The 13,878-nt window shown below is 45.4% G+C and overlaps 1 protein-coding gene across 1 annotated transcript, besides 3 other annotated features; it reads left to right on the top strand.

The window, feature by feature from the left end:
* Nucleotides 3,836–3,895: an enhancer, noted in NCBI's record as "active region_4323". NCBI's record gives its function as "activates an Ori minimal core promoter by ATAC-STARR-seq in GM12878 lymphoblastoid cells {active_cell/tissue: GM12878}" and the evidence as "EXISTENCE:reporter gene assay evidence [ECO:0000049][PMID:35858748]".
* Nucleotides 3,916–4,125: an enhancer, noted in NCBI's record as "active region_4322". NCBI's record gives its function as "activates an Ori minimal core promoter by ATAC-STARR-seq in GM12878 lymphoblastoid cells {active_cell/tissue: GM12878}" and the evidence as "EXISTENCE:reporter gene assay evidence [ECO:0000049][PMID:35858748]".
* TRIM21 (tripartite motif containing 21) lies at nt 4,016–12,821 on the top strand. Its single transcript, NM_003141.4, has 7 exons — nt 4,016–4,085; nt 7,260–7,716; nt 7,969–8,064; nt 9,188–9,418; nt 10,728–10,750; nt 11,461–11,561; nt 11,865–12,821. The coding sequence occupies exons 2-7, from the start codon at nt 7,309–7,311 to the stop codon at nt 12,431–12,433; spliced, it is 1,428 nt and encodes a 475-aa protein (NP_003132.2). The 5' UTR covers nt 4,016–4,085; nt 7,260–7,308; the 3' UTR covers nt 12,434–12,821.
* Nucleotides 10,854–12,053: an enhancer, noted in NCBI's record as "BRD4-independent group 4 enhancer chr11:4406895-4408094 (GRCh37/hg19 assembly coordinates)". NCBI's record gives its function as "activates an origin of replication core promoter dependent on BRD2, P300/CBP, MED14 and CDK7 cofactors, and independent of BRD4, by STARR-seq in HCT116 cells {active_cell/tissue: HCT116}" and the evidence as "EXISTENCE:reporter gene assay evidence [ECO:0000049][PMID:35650434]".
* Nucleotides 12,822–13,878: the final 1,057 nt, after the last annotated feature.

Here is a 13,878-nt window from a genome sequence, read left to right as displayed (position 1 = left end):
TATCACCAGCAGAGGCTGCAGAACAGCAAAGATTGCTGCCTGTTCCTTCCTCTGGAAGCTTTGTCCCAGAGGGGCACCCGCCAGATGCCAACCAGAGCTCTCCTGTATGAGGTGTCTGTTGACCCCTCCTGGGAAGTGTCTCCCAGTCTGGAGGCACAGGGGTCAGGGACCCACTTGAGGAGGCAGTCTGTGCCTTATCAGAGCTCAAGCACTGTCCTGGGAGATCCACTGCTCTCTTCAGAGCTGGCAAGCAAGAATGTTTAAGGCTGTTGAAGCTGTGCTCACCGCCACCCCTTCCCCCAGATGCTCTGTCCCAGGGAGATGGGAGTTTTAGCTATAAGCCCCTGACTGGGGCTGCTGCCTTTCTTTCAAGATGTCATGCCCAGAGAGGAGGAATCTAGAGAGGCAGTCTGGCTACAGCAGGTTTGCGAAGCTTTGGTGGGCTCCACCCAATTCGAACTTCCCAGCAGTTTTGTTTACACTGTGAGGGGAAAACCGCCTACTCAAGCCTCAGTAATGGTGGATGCCCCTCACTCCACCAAGCTCAAGCATCTCAGGTCAATTTCAGATTGCTGCACTGGCAGCAAGAATTTCAAACCCGTGGATCTTAGCTTGCTGGGCTCCATGGGGGTGGGATCCACTGAGCTAGACCACTTGGCTCCCTGGCTTCAGCCCCCTTTCCAAGGGAGTGAACAGTTCTGTCTTGCTGGTGTTCCAGACGCCACTGGGGCATGAAAAATCCTGCCGCTAGCTCAGTGTCTGCCCAAACAGCCACCCAGTTTTGTGCTTCAAACCCAGGGTCCTGGTGGTGTAGGCATCCAAGGGAATCTCCTGGTCCGTGGGTTGCATAGACCATGGGAAAAGCATAGTATCTGGGCTGGATAGCACCATTCCATCAGGTCCTTTAAGGACTTCTCTGCATTGGTTATTCTGACCTAAAACCACAAAAACCCTAGAAGAAAACCTAGGCAATACCATTCAGGACATAGGCATGGGCAAGGACTACATGTCTTAAACACCAAAAGCAATGGCAACAAAAGACAAAATTGACAAATGGGATCTAATTAAAGAGCTTCTGCACAGCAAAAGAAACTACCATCAGAGTGAATGGGCAACCTATAGAATAGGAGAAAAATTTTGCAATTTACTCATCTGACAAAGGGCTAATATCCAGAATCTACAAAGATCTCAAACAAATTTACAAGAAAAAAACAACCCCATCAAAAAGTGGGCAAAGGATATGAACAGACACTTCTCAAAAGAAGATATTTATGCAGCCAACAGACACATGGAAAAATGCTCATCATCACTGGCCATCAGAGAAATGCAAATCAAAACCACAATGAGATACTATCTCACAGCAGTTAGAATGGCGATCATTAAAAAGTCAGGAAACAATGGGTGATAGACAGGATATGGAGAAACAGGAGCACTTTTACACTGTTGGTGGGACTGTCAACGAGTTCATCCATTGTGGAAGACAGTATGGTGATTCCTCAAGGATCTAGAACTAGAAATACCATTTGACCCAGCCATCCCATTACTGGGTATATATCCAAAAGATTATAAATCATACTGATATAAAGACACATGCACACATATGTTTATTGTGGCACTATTCACAATAGCAAAGACTTGGAACCAACCCAAATGTCCAACAATGATAGACTGGATGAAGAAAATGTGGCACATATACACCATGGAATGCTATGCAGCCATAAAAAAGGATGAGCTCATGTCCTTTGTAGGGACATGGATGAAAGTGGAAACCATCATTCTCAGAAAACTATTGCAAGGACAAGAAAACCAAACACCGCATGTTCTCACTCATAGGTGGGAATTGAACAATGAGAACACATGGACACAGGAAGGGGAACATCACACACTGAGGCCTGTCCTGGGGTGGGGGGAGGGGGGAGGGATAGCATCAGGAGATATATCCAATGTAAATGAGTTAATGGGTGCAGCACACCAACATGGCACGTGTATACATATGTAACAAACCTGCATGTTGTGCACATGTACCCTAGAACTTAAAGTATAATTTAAAAAAAAATCTAAGGCCTCAAACTATGAAACTACTACAAGAAAATATTGGGGAAACTCTCCAGGACATTGGACTGGGCAAAAATTTCTTTCAAATATTCCATAAGCACAGGCAACCAAAGCAAAACTGGACAAATGAGATCACATCAAGTTAAAAAGCTTCTGCACAGCAAAGGAAACAATGAAGTAGAGAGATAACCCACAGAATTGGAGTAAATATTTGCAAACTATCCATCTGACAAGGGATTAATAACCAGAATATACAAAGAACTCAAACAACTCTATAGGAAAAAAATATAATAATCTGATTCAAAAATGGACAAACGATCTGAATAGACATTCCTCAGAAGAAGACATACAAGTGGCAAATGGATATATGAAAATGTGTTCAACACCACTGATCATCAGAGAAATGCAAATCAAAACTACGAGATATTATCTCACCTCAGTTAAAATGTCTTTTAACCAAAAGAAAGGCAATAACAAATGCTGGCAAGGATATGTAGAAAAGGGAACCCTCATACACTGTCAATGGGAATGGAAATTAGTACAAACACTATGGCAAACAATTTGAAGGTTCCTCAAAAAAAAAAAAAAACCTGAAAATAGAGCTACCATGTAATCTAGCAATCCTACTGGATACTGCTAGGTATATACCCAGAAGAAATACTGTTAGGTATATATCCAAGAGAAAGGAAATCAGTATATCAAAGAGATATCTGCACTCCCATGTTTATCGCAGCACTATTCACAATAGCCAAGATTTGGAAGCAACGTAAGTGTCCATCAACAGATAAATGGATAAGGAAAGTGTGGTACACATACACAATGGAGCACTATTCAGCCATAAAAAGAAGGAGAACCTTTCATTTGCTACAAGATGGATGGAATTGGGGATTATTATGTTAAGTAAAATAAACCAAACACAGGCAAACAAACAAATTGTTATGTTCTCACTTATTTGTGGGAGTTAAAAATTAAAACAATCCAACTCATGAAGATAGAGAGGATGATGGTTACCAAAGGCTGGGAAGGGTAGTGGGGAATGATTAATGGGTTCAAAAATACATGAGAGAGAATGAATAAGATCTAGTATTTTATAGCATAACAAGGTGAATACAGTCAATGATAATTTATCATTTTAAAATAACTAAAAGCATATAACTGGATTGTATATAACACAAATGATAAGTGCTTGAGGTGATGGATAGATACCCCACTTACCCTGATATGATTATTACGGATTGTATGCTCTACCTGTATCAAAATATTTCATGTACCCCACAAATATATACACCTACTATAGACACACAAGATTGAAAATTAAAAAAATTACTTTGGTAAATTTTATGTTCTATATTTTTACGATTAAAAATAAAAATAATATAACCTGAGAATGTCCCTAGCTCAGTGACAAGAACACAGTTGGTTGTCAAATGTCAATTTCCTTCTCACCACTCACTGGTGGGACACTCACCTTGGGGTCATGCGAAATAAATCACTCACCTGCAGGCGTTAAAAAATATTAGTCACATCAGTCACATGAAAATAATTAGCTTCTGGAAGTAAGCAGATGGTGGCACGCGAGGAAGAGCACCGGCCACTCTTCTCTGCATCAAAACTTCCTTAAAAGCATCTTCCAGACATGGACATAGCGTCTAGGTGTGGAGTGATGACCAGTGTCAAAGAAAGCAGCCCGGACTCCCCCGTCTTGTAGATATTTTACCAAATCAGATAATGAAGACATGGGAGGGAGCGCGCAACCAGGACCACGGGCTACTGAGTTTCCACTCCTTCCCAGTCTCAGAGAAGCCTCCTGGGCATGCAGAGCCTCTGAAGCCTCCCCCAGCTCAACTCTGACTTCTCTTCTCAGCCGCATTTCTCCACACACCCTTTCAAGGCTCTGCTCCTCCCACTGCTCCTCCCTCACTCCTCCCACGGCTCCTCCTCCTCCCTCCCCTTTCCTCTCAGACTTGCTTCTGAGCGGAAACTGAAAGTGAAATAGGGAGCTGGCTACCAGCGTTGAGTCCCCTGTAAAGGTGAGTGAACCCCACTAGATCAAGGGACCCCTGCCCTCCTAGGGGACCTCTCTCCCCTGCCCCAGGGTTGCAGAGCCCCTTCCAGTCTCCATCCTTGAGCCGGTCCCATTTGCCCCTTCTCCCACCAGGGATCCCTCAACCCAAGACCAGCTGCGCTTCCGGTGCTGGCCCCCTGCTTGGGAGGAGGCTGGGGTGTGGACCTGACTGCCGAGTTACCCAGAAGGGGAAGGGGCCCGGCTGCCCCCTACCTGGGAGGAGGCTGGGTTGTGGACGTGACTGTGGAGTTACCCAGAAGGGGAAGGGGCCCGGCTGCCCCCATGCTGGCACCTGACCTAGGATGACGGCTGGGTGTGGCTGGGATAGCCAGGACTACAGCCTAGCCAGGAGGGTAGGGAGCCCAGTGTCGGGGAGGTCTGCAATTCTGGAGACTCCCAGGTCCAAAAGTCCTCCAGAGGTGAGAGGGGCAGGCTGTTTAGGATGTTCAACCAGAAATGTATAGGCCTTCAGAATTATTCTTTGTCCTAGAATAAGTGTTGTCAGGAACTAAACTAAGTTTGGAGCAGCTGAGAAAAGAGCCCAGGGAGTGCTGGCCACGGTTCCTGTTACTCTGTGTGTATACATACATATACACCTACATACATATATGCAACTGACTTCCGCCGTTATAGGAGGGATTAATGAAGATATATTCAAAGCATGAAGTATCTCTGGCACATGGAAGGTACATGGTAAAAAGTAGCTATAATTTCTCAGCAACATGGAGGCCTGTTGGTACCCGACAGGAGATGGATGAGCACTGAGGGTTTAAGCAGGAATGGACATGATGAGAGTAGAACTGTCAACAGCTTTATGAGGTTCTTGCCAATTTTCATTCCCTCTTTTAGGGACTCAGTTTCTCCTTCTGTCTCACTGGATCAATGGACCAAACAATGGAGGAGTTCTTGTTATTCAGAACAGGAATAAACTTATTCAACAAACTGTTTGATCGGTGCAAAAGTAATTACTGTTTTTGACATTAATTGTTTTGCCATTAATTTTATGCCTTGTTTTGTTTTGTTTTGTTTTTGAGAGGGAGTCTCGCCGTGTCACCCAGGCTGGAGTGCAATGGCACAATCTTGGCTCACTGCAACCTCTGCCTCCCAGGTTCAAGCAATTCTCCTGCCTCAGCCTCCCAAGTAGCTGGGATTACAGGTGCCCACCACCACTCCCAGCTAATTTTTGTATTTTTAGTAGAGACAGGGTTTTACCATATTGGTCAGGCTGGTCTTGAACTCCTGACCTAAGGTGATCCACCCACCTCGGCCTCCCAAAGTGCTGGGATTACAGGTGTGAGCCACCGTGCCTGACCCATTATTTTTATTCTTATTTTTTATTTTCCTTTGCATCATTTTGTTTTTCTTTTTTTAGTATATTTTTAATTTTTGTGGGCACATAGTAGGTATATTTATGGGTATATGGAATATTGTGATACAGGTATACAATGTGTAATAATCACATCAGGGTAAGTGGGGCATCTATCACCTCAAGCATTGATCATCTGTAATACAAACTATGCAATTATACTCTTATTTTTAATGTACAATTAAATTATTGACTATAGTCACCCTGTTGTACTATCAAATACTAGATCTAATTCACTCCACTTTTGTACCCATTAACCATCCCATCTTCTCCCCCACACACAGACCCTCCCTATTACTCTTCCCAGCCTCTGGTAACCATCTTTCTATTATCTAACTCCATGAGTTCAATTGTTTTAATTTTTAGCTTCTACAAATGAGTGAGACCATACAATGTTTGTGTTTCTGTGCCTGGCTTATTTCACCTAACATAATGACCTCCAGTTCCATTCATGTTGTTGTGAATGACAGGATCTCATTATATTTTATGACTGAACAGTACTCCATTGTGTATACATACCACATTTTCTTTATCCATATATCTGTTGATGGACTCTTAGATTGCTTCCAAATCTTGGCTATTGTGAAACGTGCTGCAGTAAACATGGAAGTGTGGATATCTCTTTGATATACTGATTTCCTTTCTTTGGGGTATATGCTAGCAGTGGGATTGATGGATCATATGGTAGCTCTATCTTCAGTATTTTGAAGAACCTCCAAACTGTTCTCTGTAGTGATTGTACTAATTTACCTTCCCACCAACAGCATATGAGTGTACCCTTTTCTCCACACCCTCACCAGCATTTGTTATAGCCTGTCTTTTGGAGAAAAGACATTTTAACTGAGATGAGATTATATCTCATTGTAGTTTTGATTTGCATTTTTCTGATAATCAATGATGTTGAGCAACTGTTCATATGCCTGTTTGTCATTTGTATGACTTCTTTTGAGAAATGTCTGTTCAGATCTTTTGTCCATTTTTGAGTCAGATTATTATTTTTTTTCCTATAGAGTTGTTTGAGCTCCTTATATATTCTGGTTATTCATCCCTTGTCAGATGGATAGTTTACAAATATTTACTCCAATTCTGTGGGCTGTCTCTTCACTTTGTGGATTGTTTCTTTTGCTGTGCAGCACCTTTTCAACATGATGTGATCCCATTTGTCCAAGTTTGCTTTGGCTGCCTGTGCTTGTGGGATATTTGAAAGAAATCTTTGCCCAGTCCAATGTCCTAGAGAGTTTTCCCAATGTTTTCTTATAATAGTTTCATAGTTTGAGGCCTTAGATTTAAGTCTTTAATCCATTTTGATTTGATTTCTGTATACGGTGAGACATAGGAGTGTAGTTTCATTCTTCTGCATGTGGATATCCAGTTTTCCCAGCAGCATTTATTGAAGAGACTGTCCTTTCCTCACTGTATGTTCTTGGTAGCTTTGTTGAAAATGTGCTCACTGTGGATGTACAGATTTGTTTCTGGGTTCTTTATTCTACTGGTCTATGTGTCTGTTTTTATGCCAGTACCATGCTGTTTGGGTTACTTTAGCTCTACAGTATAATTTGACGTCAGATGATGTGATTCCTCCAGTTTTGTTCTTTTTGCTCAGGATAGCTTTGGCTATTCTGAGTCTTTTGTGATTCCATATAAATTTTAGGATTGTTTTTTCCTATTTTTGTGAAGAATGTCATTGGTATTTTGATAGGGATTATGTTGACTTTTTGTTTTTCTTACACAGACTTTCTCATATTCTCTTTTCCCTTTCTTCTTCTCTCCCAGCCAAACCCCCTAAAGGTCTCCACACTGCTGTTTAACGGCACACTTGACAATGGCTTCAGCAGCACGCTTGACAATGATGTGGGAGGAGGTCACATGCCCTATCTGCCTGGACCCCTTCGTGGAGCCTGTGAGCATCGAGTGTGGCCACAGCTTCTGCCAGGAATGCATCTCTCAGGTTGGGAAAGGTGGGGGCAGCGTCTGTCCTGTGTGCCGGCAGCGCTTTCTGCTCAAGAATCTCCGGCCCAATCGACAGCTAGCCAACATGGTGAACAACCTTAAAGAAATCAGCCAGGAGGCCAGAGAGGGCACACAGGGGGAACGGTGTGCAGTGCATGGAGAGAGACTTCACCTGTTCTGTGAGAAAGATGGGAAGGCCCTTTGCTGGGTATGTGCCCAGTCTCGGAAACACCGTGACCACGCCATGGTCCCTCTTGAGGAGGCTGCACAGGAGTACCAGGTGAGGCCTAAGAGACACCTGGTGAGTGCTTCGTTTTCAGAGCAGGGAATGGGAGAGGACCACCTCTGGATTGGAGGGGTTAGAGAAAGGAGGGGTTTACCTCTCTCCATGTCTAATGTAGGAGGAGAATTATAAGTTAAACCCAACCTCATTCCCCAGGCGTAGGAGATATGCATGAGAAAATGCTGCAAGGATTACCCCACCCTATTACTTGGTTTGCATGGGGGACGAATAAGCTGTCTTTCTCTGCAGGAGAAGCTCCAGGTGGCATTAGGGGAACTGAGAAGAAAGCAGGAGTTGGCTGAGAAGTTGGAAGTGGAAATTGCAATAAAGAGAGCAGACTGGAAGGTAAGAATGACATCCTGAAGGAGATCTTAGGCTGGAAGGCTGGGCAGGGTCCAGAGTCCTCAACTCACAGCCTTAACCGTAGCTGTGCCTCTCTGAGCAGTGATAGAGTTGGTCCGTCTCACTCTCCAGAAGCCAGCTGCTCTCTAGGTTTACAAATAGAGGGGAATAAAAATGATGCAGGTTCAAAGGGGAGCTCCCCATCAGGCCTGAAGATCAAGAATCCTGGAAGAAGGTGCTGAGAGGATCTAGCTATACCCTAAAGTTTCGAGCTCCTCTGAGTCTAGTCTCAGAGGTGTGATGGCGTCAGCACCTGGATGTGTGAGACAAATATCCTAGTAGAAACCCAACTGCTAGCTAAGCCTTTCAGGAAATGACAAGGGCTGTGAGGAATAAACTTAAGGAAACCATCTGACCAGGTGGTTACTTGACCATGACCAGATCTCTGGTCCAAAATATAATGAAGAATCAATGTTTGTTCTGCACTGATGATTTCCTAGGAGAGGTGGGGCATGTCAGGGATGAGAGGGGAGAAGAAGGAGCCCATCCCCAGTAGATCACAGAAGAGGAAGATTTGGGATTGAGGTAGGGTGTGAGTTGGGTTGTGGTGACAAAACAGACCCTCATGTGTCATCGAGTGACCTTCCAGTTACTAACAGGAGAGGAAAAGCAAAGAATGTCCCCAAGCCCCCTTTCCCAGGACTTAGAGGTGGTGGCGTGAGCCTGGCTTTGTGAGGTTGTTGGAGGTGGGAACAGGTGATTTTTTTCTCAGTAACTCACTGAGACAGGAAGACACAGGGGCACATTTGAGTGGTGACTGGGCTTGGAAGAGAGGTTGGAAAAAGTCCCCAATGCCATATATTCGTGTAGCTGTCGTTGTAGGCCAGCTACAGTGTGCCCTCACCAAGTCCATTCCCCTCACTGTCCCAGAAACCTCAACCACCTACCTCCCAAGCAAAATTGTGTGTGTGTGTGTGTGCGCGCGTGTGCGTGTGCATGTGTGTGTGTTTTCCCAGACAGCACAGAGTGGAGTCTCTTGGGGATAGGAATAGGTACCAATACCTCCATTCCCAAAGCTTGGGAGATTTTCATAAAAACCACCTCTCCCTTTCCCTTGACACTAAAGAAAACAGTGGAAACACAGAAATCTAGGATTCACGCAGAGTTTGTGCAGCAAAAAAACTTCCTGGTTGAAGAAGAACAGAGGCAGCTGCAGGAGCTGGAGAAGGATGAGAGGGAGCAGCTGAGAATCCTGGGGGAGAAAGAGGCCAAGCTGGCCCAGCAGAGCCAGGCCCTACAGGAGCTCATCTCAGAGCTAGATCGAAGGTGCCACAGCTCAGCACTGGAACTGCTGCAGGTGAGACAGGGAGGGGTTTCCTTCTACAATTCAGGGAATAACTGAAAAAGACCAGAGCTATCTGGAACTGCCATTTGAATAAATGGACACCTGGTCCCTGGAATGTTCTTAAATGAAGTAGAATTCAAACCCATGAAAGGTTCGCGTTCAAGACGCAAAGTAAAGATGAAAATAAGTACAGGACCTTTTTAAAAATCAATTTATGTTGCACTTAGAATCATCTTGCATCCACCAATGATATGTTTGCCTCACTGTAGGAAACTATGGACTAGATGGTCTCACAAGTCCCTTCTGTTCTAACATTCTACAGCTCTTTTCCCACACCTGTTCAGTGTCACTCAGAGTGGTCATGAGCCATTGCTTTCAGGTTTGTGCAGAAAACCTAATTGTATTGGGTTGACTTGACAGGCTCTCTTCTGCCCAACATTGAACCAGGCTTTCTATTTATTTATTTATTTATTTATTTATGAGACAGAGTTTCACTCTTGTTGCCCAGGCTGGAGTGCAATGGTGTGATCTTGGCTCACTGCAACCTCCGCCTCCCGGGTTCAAGCGATTCTCCTGCCTCAGCCTCACATCACCACACCTGGCTAATTTTGCATCCCTAGTAGAGATGGGATTTCTCCATGTTGGTCAGGCTGGTCTCAAACTCCCAACCGTAGGTGATCTGCCCCCCTCAGCCTCCCAAAGTGCTGGGATTACAAGAGTGAGCCACTACACCTGTCTGTAAACCAGGCTTTCCAACACACTTTTGACTGAGTCTAGGAGCCTGCTAGCTCCCATGTAATGGCGCCTAATCCCTACGACAAAAATATTCTCAGTGATTTGGTTTCACATACAGGAAGAGGCAACATTAAGTACCCAAGGGAGCTTTAACTAACCAACCTTTCCTTCCCAAACAATGCTAGCCCACAAGTGGAATAGAGTGGTTTCTGGACACCTGAACTCGGCCATTCTCTGCCTGTGATTGTTTCTGGGCTTAAGCCAAGCTGGGCTATGTGCCCTCTCTGCCCTCCTTTCTTTCTCCCCTGGGGAAAAAAAAAAAAAACTGGTCTTTGAGTCAGAGTCCTGAAACTGATAACCCTTCCCTAGCCATAGGTCACATCCATGCTGGGCTTCTGGTTACCTCACAAGCAGCCACACATCCTTTCTGCTTTGAGCTGGTCAGAATCATCTCTGGGGCCTAGGACCAGAGGAAGGAGAGGAACAGTGCCCCAGGGACCAAAGATGGATCACATCACCCACAGGGCTGATGTCTCAGTGGCGATCCAGCAATCCAGAACTTACTTTCTGTCTCTTTTCTCCTCAGGAGGTGATAATTGTCCTGGAAAGGTAAGGAGGAGTTTTCTTTGTTAGAAGAGGGGCCAGCAGAAAGCATATATGCCTATGACAAAGGTGATTGAATTAGAAGTACATGCACTGAAGTTTTCCCCATCTGGCTTCCTATTCTCAAAAACTTCATTCTCTATAAAATATTTTCTGGTCTCAGAAAGCTAATAAATGGACATCTCAATTGGTGATTGCCCACAGTAGTTGGATCATAACATCTTCACACAGTAAAGTCCTGCCAAACAGGGAAATCCTGGGAAGTTCTGGGTCTTCCCGGAATTCAGACTACTGGGACATGGCCTGCTGGGACTCCTTTTCTCAGTGGAATCTAACCAGTTACCTCCCAAAAAGAGCCATGAGTAAGACCCACAGTGTGGGCAAGACTCCTTGAGGTTCCTTGCAGAAGTGATTCAGCCTGTCTCAGATTGCTTGCCTATAAAATGAAATTGAATGCATTTGCCAGGTGACCTCAGGCTTAGACAGGAGAGACAGACTGTCCACATGCTGCAGAGCCTCCTATAACCAGGAACTCCTGGGTAGAAACTAAATCCTGCATTGTTTGCCTCTCACACCCACTCCTGGAGACTTGAACACCAGAGGTCTTTGTAAATTTGAGTTGAATTAAATTATCGGAGTCCTCCACAATGGAGGTTATAGTGTTAGGGTTTGGGATAGGAGTAGGAGACAGGAGTCTCAAACTCTCTTTCCCCCAGGAGTGAGTCCTGGAACCTGAAGGACCTGGATATTACCTCTCCAGAACTCAGGAGTGTGTGCCATGTGCCAGGGCTGAAGAAGATGCTGAGGACATGTGCAGGTGAGGCAAGTTCTAGTTTTGCGGGGGATAATGGGGTGCAGAGTAGATCCCAGGGTCAGGGAGCCTGGATGGCAACTTGGAGGAGAGATGGCAGGTCAGAGCAGGGGGAACAGAGATGGAGGTAAGGAAGATGGTTTCTTCAGAGGTCAGGACCAAGGCCAGAACTGGCTGATGGTCATTTCCTCACACAGGGAGGTTCACCCCTCATGCTTACCCTGGAGTTTACACAAAATCCCCCCACCACAGGCACAGACTTAGTGAACTCCCCCCATGCAAGGCCTGACTGTGGTCCTCTCTCTGCAGTCCACATCACTCTGGATCCAGACACAGCCAATCCGTGGCTGATACTTTCAGAAGATCGGAGACAAGTGAGGCTTGGAGACACCCAGCAGAGCATACCTGGAAATGAAGAGAGATTTGATAGTTATCCTATGGTCCTGGGTGCCCAGCACTTTCACTCTGGAAAACATTACTGGGAGGTAGATGTGACAGGAAAGGAGGCCTGGGACCTGGGTGTCTGCAGAGACTCTGTGCGCAGGAAGGGGCACTTTTTGCTTAGTTCCAAGAGTGGCTTCTGGACAATTTGGTTGTGGAACAAACAAAAATATGAGGCTGGCACCTACCCCCAGACTCCCCTCCACCTTCAGGTGCCTCCATGCCAAGTTGGGATTTTCCTGGACTATGAGGCTGGCATGGTCTCCTTCTACAACATCACTGACCATGGCTCCCTCATCTACTCCTTCTCTGAATGTGCCTTTACAGGACCTCTGCGGCCCTTCTTCAGTCCTGGTTTCAATGATGGAGGAAAAAACACAGCCCCTCTAACCCTCTGTCCACTGAATATTGGATCACAAGGATCCACTGACTATTGATGGCTTTCTCTGGACACTGCCACTCTCCCCATTGGCACCGCTTCTCAGCCACAAACCCTGCCTCTTTTCCCCATGAACTCTGAACCACCTTTGTCTCTGCAGAGGCATCCGGATCCCAGCAAGCGAGCTTTAGCAGGGAAGTCACTTCACCATCAACATTCCTGCCCCAGATGGCTTTGTGATTCCCTCCAGTGAAGCAGCCTCCTTATATTTGGCCCAAACTCATCTTGATCAACCAAAAACATGTTTCTGCCTTCTTTATGGGACTTAAGTTTTTTTTTTCTCCTCTCCATCTCTAGGATGTCGTCTTTGGTGAGATCTCTATTATATCTTGTATGGTTTGCAAAAGGGCTTCCTAAAAATAAAAAATAAAATTTAAAAAACTGTGCCTCCGTCTATCCCATTCAGTCCTTGTTCCTTAATCCTGAAATACTTGAGAACTCTGAATATGATTAATAGTGATGTGTCTTTAACACTGCACGTGCTTTTCATGCCTAGACTGTCCCATTTGAAATGTTTGATCTTGGACTGAAGACCCAGGTCAAGTCAAGTCTTCTGTACTTCCCCATCATTGCCTTCCCCATCATAGCCGCTGTGGTGATAGAAGGCCATTTGGGCTCTGATCGCTGTCCGAGGGGATATTACCTCCTTACCATGAGGGAACACCTGCTTTTGAAATACAAAGTTCTCCTGGGGCTGGAGTAGCTCTGTGACCTCTGCATCTCTGACCCTCACAGACCTGAAGCACCTTCTGTCCATGTTCTCAGTAAGTGACGAGTGACAACATCAAAGTTCTTGGAGCTCTCTGGGGCTTCCCTATGCTTTCAGTGTTCTAGACAACTGGCCAATTCCTGTGCCCCTTGGAATATCCAGTTTTAATGTTATTTCTCTCTGGAATGCACCTTTCTTGGGCAAAGTTTTCGGACTTTTCCAGAAGAGTAAATGTTACATCCGCTAAGGGATAAAGAAAAAGGGGGTGTGTGCTGTGGGTGTGACCACATCCCCAATCATGAGGAAGGGATTTGGAGCCTGAAGAAATGTGTGTCTGTGTCAGCATGTGCTCACATTCGGCAGGTGAGGCCATGAGTATTAGGAAGAAAGGGACCATCTTGTCTTCCAGAAGCTTCCACTGCAGACGATGAGGTATCCTTTCAGGCAAGGTGAGGAGAGACTTTGTGTGGAGGTAAGAAGAGAACACAGCAGCAAAGAGTAAGTGAAGCATGGCTTCATCTTCTTCCTGTCTCTATGACCAGGCTACCTCCCCTAAAACTCCTGCCCCGGGCCCCACGCCTCCTACTTGAATGGTTTGGACGAGGAAAGAAGAGGTTGAAAGGATATGGAAAGAAAGCCAAACAAAGGAGCTGTCTAAGTTCCTGGACACAGCCACTAACAAGCCCTCTCTAACATGTGCAGCTCAGGCCTGTGCCCCAGGGCTGGGGCTTTGG

Source organism: Homo sapiens, chromosome 11, assembly GCF_000001405.40.
Source record: "Homo sapiens chromosome 11, GRCh38.p14 Primary Assembly".
Classification (NCBI taxonomy): Eukaryota; Metazoa; Chordata; class Mammalia; order Primates; family Hominidae; genus Homo; species Homo sapiens.
The sequence above is the reverse complement of the archived record's forward strand: the minus strand, read 5'-3'. Positions and strand labels throughout refer to the sequence as shown.

Coding starts and splice junctions, on each gene's coding strand:
- TRIM21 (NM_003141.4), top strand. CDS start 7,309: ATGGCTTCAGCAGCACGCTTGACAATGATGTGGGAGGAGGTCACATGC. Junction 7,717..7,968: donor AGGCTGCACAGGAGTACCAG/GTGAGGCCTAAG, acceptor CTTTCTCTGCAG/GAGAAGCTCCAGGTGGCATT. Junction 11,562..11,864: donor GATGCTGAGGACATGTGCAG/GTGAGGCAAGTT, acceptor CTCTCTCTGCAG/TCCACATCACTCTGGATCCA.